Consider the following 6,732-nt stretch of genomic DNA (forward strand, 5'->3'; position numbering starts at 1 on the left):
GAAGCCTTGATCTTTTGTTTCATGAATATTTAATTGGACTGAATTCTTTTCCTTTTACAGTGTGAGTGAGAACGAAGTGTATTCTTTATTGCTAAAGTTATCCGTTGTGCTTGGCATTTTAATTTACTTTTCAAAACTTTTAACCAAGGACCATTTCAATTCCAATGAGCAAACTTTATCACACTTTTTCAGATGATTACATTTTCTCTTTGAAGTTTTTTTTTTTAAATTCTTCTGAAGCTTGAGAATATTTCCCCTCTAGTTCTAGCTTACTAAACATGTCATTGAAGTCATAAAGAAATCATCCTTCTATGATTTGAGGACTAAGGTTGGTAGATGACTAACTACGAAAGAGTGTATCATACTACTAAAATATCTACTAGAAATTGTCAAGCGTGAGTCATCTTGATTTCTCTGATTAATAGTATATGTGACTTAACTAGAATTAAGCATATAAATATAAATTACTGTATCTTAGAAAGCGTTTAAAACAAGTTACCAGCAAGGTAATAATTACCCTTTCCACCAATTTTTGTCTATGAGGTCATAACTACCCTTTCCCCCAATTTTTGTCTATCTTCATGAAGTGCTGAGGCGGAATGGGAGGCTGCTCATTAAATCGAAGGGTCAGGAGAGAAGATGAATTTTTACTGTATACTTCTTTATAGACCATATACACAATGATATGAATTATAAAGAACTACATTGAAGTTACTGATTTCAAATTAACATTATTACCAATACAATTTAGTTATAATTTCATGGATTTTAGTATACTATAACTTCCCAAGTATCTTGTGTTTCTTGTTTTATTCTTATAGATGATGAGTAAATACTGTTCATAAATTTATTAAGTAATATAAGGATGAAAGTATAGGTCTTTTCAAACCCAGACTGATAATCTTTCCACTATATTACCATATACAAATTTCAGTGTTTCACATGTATATTAAGAAAACCAGCTTATATTTGAAATTTTACTAACTTAAATCAGGTATTTCCATACCATTTTTAACACAGACTTTATCTGTGTAGTATAGAGATACCACGGTCAGAAGGCTATATTTTGCCTGGATATATCTTTTGTTTGTATTCTGCATTGTTAAAAATTTTAAACTGGGAATTCAAAAAAAAAATCTGGATTTCCAGCTTCTGGTAAGAATTGGGATAGCTCAGCAACAAAGACTCCATCTCTGTGTAGACATTATCAGATGGAGCTAAAGAGTTGCTACCTCCTTGATGTAGGATATTCTGTTTCAGTAACCTAATCCTTTGAGTTTTCCTGACAATGAGACAAAGTGTCAGCTGCAGAACAAAGAACAAAATATGATTATACTAGCAGCAGAATTCTTACAGGAGGCCCCCTTTCCTCCTTTATGTTAAATACCTGGCAACCATAGTTAATTGATTTTGTGATTCATGATTAAATTATTTTTTTCCATAGGTTATTGGGGTACAGGTGGTGTTTGGTTACATGAGTAAGTTCTTTAGTGGTGATTTGTGAGATTTTGGTGCACCCATCACCTGAGCAGTATAAACTGCACGCTATTTGTAGTCTTTTATCTCTCGCCCCTAGGCCACTCTCCCCCAAGTCCTCAAAGTCCATTGTATCATTCTTATGCCTTTGCGTCCTCATAGCTTAGCTCCCATATATCAGTGAGAACATACGATGTTTGGTTTTCTGTTCCTGAGTTACTTCACTTAGAATAGTCTCCAATTTCATCCAATCTCATCCAGGTCACAGCAAATGCTGTTAATTTATTCCTTTTTATGGCTGAGTAGTATTCCATCATCTATATATCACAGTTTCTTTATCCACTTGTTGATTGATGGGCATTTGTGTTGGTTCCACGATTTTGCAGCTGCGAATTTTGCTGCTATAAGCATGCATGTGAGAGTATCTTTTTCATATAATGACTTCTTTTCCTCTGGGTAGATAGCCAGGAGTGGGATTGCTGGATCAAATGGTAGTTCTATTTTTAGTTCTTTAAGGAATCTCCACACTGTTTTCCATAGTGGTTGTACTAGCTTACATTCCCACCAGCAGCATAGAAGTGTTCCTTGATCACTGCATCCATGCCAACATCTGTTTTTTGATTTTTTTTACTATGGCCATTCTTGCAGGAGTAAGGTGGTATCACATTGTGGTTTTGACTTGCATTTCCCTGATCATTAGCAATGTTGAACATTTTTTCACATGTTTGTTGGCCATTTGTATATCTTATTTTAAGAATTGTCTATTCACATCCTTAGCCCACTTTTTGGTGGGATAGTTTGTATTTTTCTTACTGATTTGTTTGAATTCATTGTAGATTGTGAATATTAGTCCTTTGTCAGTGTACAGATTGTGAAGATTTTCTCCAACTCTGTGGTTTGTCTATTTACTCTGCTGACTGTTCCTTTTGCCGTGTAAAAGCTCTTTAGTTTGAGTCCTAGATATTTATCTCTGTTTTTATTGCATTCGCTTTTGGGTTCTTGGTCATGAAATCTTTGCCTAAGTCAATGTCTAGAAGGGTTTTTCCAATGTTGTCTTCTAGAATTTTTATAGTTTCAGGTCTTAGATTTAATTCCTTAATCTATCTTGAGTTGATTTTTGTATAAGGTGAGAGATGAGGATACAGTTTCATTCTCCTACGTGTGGCTAGCCAATTATCCCAGTACCATTTGTTGAAATGTGTTCTTTCCCCCACTTTATGTTTTTGTTTGCTTTGTTGAAGATCAGTTGGCTGTTAAGTATTTAGGTTTATTTCTGGGTTCTCTATTCTGTTCCATTGGTCTATGTGCATATTTTTATACCAGTACCGTGCTGTTTTGGTGACAATGGCCTTATGGTATAGTTTGAAATCCGGTAGTGTGATGCCACCAGATTTGTTGTTTTGCTTAGTCTTGCTTTGGCTATGTGGGCTCTTTTTTGGTTCCTTATGAATTTTGGAGTTGTTTTTCTAATTCTGTGAAGACTGATGGTGTTATTTTGATGGGGATTGTGTTGAATTTGTAGATTGCTTTTGGTAGTATGGTCATTCTCCCAATATTGATTCTACCCATCCATGAGCATGGGAAGTGTTTCCATTTGTTTCTGTCATCTTTGATTTCTTTCAGCAGTGTTTTGTAGTTTTCCTCGTAGATGTCTTTCAACTCCTTGGTTAGGTGTATTCCTAAGAATTTTATATTTTTGCAGCTATTGTAAAAGGGGATGATTTTTTGATTTGATTCTCTGCTTGGTTGCTATGGGTGTATAGAAAAGCTACTAATTTTTGTACATTAATTTTGTATCCAGAAACTTTGCAGAATTCTTTTATCAGTTTTAGGAGCTTTCTGGAGGAATCTTTAGGGATTTTGAGGTAAATGATTATATCATCAGCAAACAGTGACCGGTTGACTTCCTGTTTACCGATTTGGATGCCGTTTATTTATTTCTCTTGTCTGATTGCTCTGACTAGGACTTCCAGTGCTGTGTTGAAGATGACTGGTGAGAGTGGGCATCCTTGTCTTGTTGCAGTTCTCAGAGGGAATGCTTTCAACTTTTCCGCACTCAGTATCATGTTGGCTGGGGGTTTGTCATAGATGGCTTTTATTACATTGTGGTATATCACTTGTATGCTGATTTTGCCAACAGTTTTAATCATAAAGGGATCCTGGATTTTGTTGAATGCTTTTTTCTGCATCTATGGAAATGATCATGTGATTTTTGTTATTAATTTTGTTTATGTGATATGTCACATTTATTGACTTGCATATGTTAAACCATCCTTGAATCACTGGTATGAAACCCACTTGTGGATTATCTTTTTGATATGTTGTTGGATTCGGTTAGCTAGTATTTTGTTAAGGATTTCAGCATCTATGTTCATCAGGAATATCAGTCTGTAGTCTTCTTTTTTGGTTATGTCCTTTCCTGGTTTTGGCATTGGGGTGATGCTGGCTTCATAGAATGAATTAGGGAGGCTCCCCTCTTTCTCTATCTTGTGGAATAGTGTCAGTAGGATTGGCACTAATTCTTTTTTTTTTTCAAGAGAATTAAATCGTTTATTGATTACATACGATAATGGATGATACACAAGCTTCATTCCCATCTATAATTTTATCTGGTACCATTATTCAATTTAGATATATTGCATAGGATGTACCAACAATCACTTTTATAACCAATAATTCCATGATTTTGCTTGGATAATCCCTTTTAATGGTGAACTTCAGGTCACAACAGTAACTATCAGTTCAACTACACCAAGGTTTCCGAAGACAATGGCTTCTTCACCCAAGCAGGTTGTATATAAATTCCAAATAGAACCTGGCATCACCCTGAAGGAATTCTAACTTCACACTGTTGGGGAAATTTACCAAGATGGCTTCAGAGTAGACTAACTTTACACAGCACATTAAAAAAAAAGACATTTATTCAGTGTCACGATCAGACTATTACATTTAGCAATCAACAGCATGGGTGCAAAAAAAAATCTACATTAAAACCCTTTGTTGGAATGCTTTACACTTTCCACAGAACAGAAACTAAAATAACCTGTTATACAATTAGTCACAAATACAGTCCTCGAGTTTTTTGCCCATACACATGAGTATTTGTCTAAAACATGTCTTCTTTGTAGCAGCTAGGCCCTGCCACCACTGTGCTTGGCTGAGTTCACAAATCTGTTGTAACCTGTAGCTTCCCTGTTACTTCTCTGGCTCTCCTCTCCTGCTGAGCTTTGTTTCCTAATTAAAATCTTCTGCCACTGCCATAGCTACTGCTGCTGCTGGAACCGCCATAGCCACCTTGGTTTCGTGGTTTTGCAAAGTACTGGCCTCCACCACCATGGGGGCCAGAGCTTCTGCCTCCAAAATTTCCTCCCTTCATGGGTCCAAAATTTGAAGACTGATTGTTGTAATTGCCAAAATCCTTGTAGCTTCCACCACCTCCAAAATTGCTTCCATCATTACCAAATCCATTATAGCCATCCCCATTGCCACCATATCCACCACCACCATGGCTGCCACCAAAGCCACCATGACCACTGAAGTTTCCTCCATGACCAAAGTTGTCGTTCCCACTGAAACCACCTCCACGACCACCACCAAAGTTTCCAGAACCACTTCGACCTCTTTGGCTGGATGAAGCACTAGCCATCTCTTGCTTTGACAGGGCTTTTGTAACTTCACAGTTGTGGCCATTCACAGTATGGTATTTCTGAATGACAATCTTATCCACGGAGTCATGGTCGTCAAAGGTTACAAAGGCAAAGCCCCTTTTCTTGCCACTGCCTCGGTCACTCATGATTTCAATCACTTCAATTTTTCCATACTGTTCAAAATAATCTCTTAGGTGATGTTCTTCAGTGTCTTCTTTAATGCCACCAACAAATATCTTTTTCACAGTTAAGTGGGCACCTGGTCTTTGAGAATCTTCTCTTGAGACGGCTCTCTTTGGTTCCACAACTCTTCCATCCACCTTGTGTGGCCTTGCATTCATAGCTGCATCCAATTCTTCTTTGAATGTCTGGTAGAATTCTGCTGCGAATCCATCTGGTCCTGGACTTTTTTTTGTTGGGAATTTTTAAATTACCATTTCAATCTCAGTACTTGTTATTGGTCTGTTTAGGGTATCTGATTCTTCCTGATTTAAGCTAGGAAAGTTGTATTTTTCCAGGAATTTATCCGTCTCTTCTAGGTTTTCTAGTTTATGCATGTAAATGTTCATAATGACCTTGAATGATCTTTTGTATTTCTGTGCTGTCAGTTGCAATATCTCATTTTGCTTTTTATTGAGGTAATTTGGATTTTCTCTCTTCTTTTCTTGGTTAATCTTGCTAATGGTCTGTCAACTTTATCTTTTCAAAGAACTGGTTTTTGTTACATTTACCTTTTGTATTTTTGTTTGTTTGTCCCAGTTTTATTTAGTTCTGCTCTGATCTTGGTTATTTCCTTTCTTCTGCTGGATTTGGGTTTGGTTTGTTCTTGTTTCTCTAGTTCCTTGAGGTGTGACCTTAGAATGTCAGTTTGAGCTCTTTCAGTCTTTTTGCTGTAGGTGTTTAGGGCTATGAACTTTCCTCTTACCACTGCCTTTGCTGTATCCCACAGGTTTTGATAGGTTGTGTCACTATTGTTCCTGATTAAATGATTTAATATTATCTTTGGGTTGTTCATCTGCAGTTAATTTAATACTCACTTTGTGTTGTTTATATTCAGTTCTTATTCAAACCCCCCATCACCTGTATATCCCTTAGATGATGGTGTTTCTGTGTGGAAAATAGGAATTGCATTATGTAAAGCCTTCTTCTCATCCTATAATATCTTTCTAGGAGGCTTCTAATCCTTTTTTTAATTGTCCTAAGACTAAAATATTTGTGACTAATATGTTCATAAAAATATTGAAATGATAGTAAATTTTATCAGAAAAATAAAATCTCTGAAAATAATCAAATGGAAGATACACTAACTGATACTAAGAACTCAATATATAAGTTTAAATATAAATTATACCCAGCAAAAGCAAAGATAAATAAACTTAAAGAAAGTAGAAGATGTCTTTAGGAAAGCATGAAGAGAAATAAAAAGATAAGATATGGATGTGAGTGTAAGAAATATGTGTGTCATGGTGAAAAGCATTAACATATATGTGATTTGAATCCCAGTAAAAAAGCATGACAGAATAGACAAAGGCAATTTTTGAAGTGATTCTAGTTAACAATTCTCCAAAACTGATGAGAGACATAAAAAGCACCAGTTCAGTAAAGCCTA

The 6,732-nt window shown here is 35.9% G+C and overlaps 1 pseudogene; it reads right to left on the reverse strand.

The window, feature by feature from the left end:
- HNRNPA1P4 (heterogeneous nuclear ribonucleoprotein A1 pseudogene 4) lies at positions 4,003-5,482 on the reverse strand (annotated as a pseudogene).

Source organism: Homo sapiens, chromosome 8 (assembly GCF_000001405.40).
Source record: "Homo sapiens chromosome 8, GRCh38.p14 Primary Assembly".
Taxonomy (NCBI): domain Eukaryota; kingdom Metazoa; phylum Chordata; class Mammalia; order Primates; family Hominidae; genus Homo; species Homo sapiens.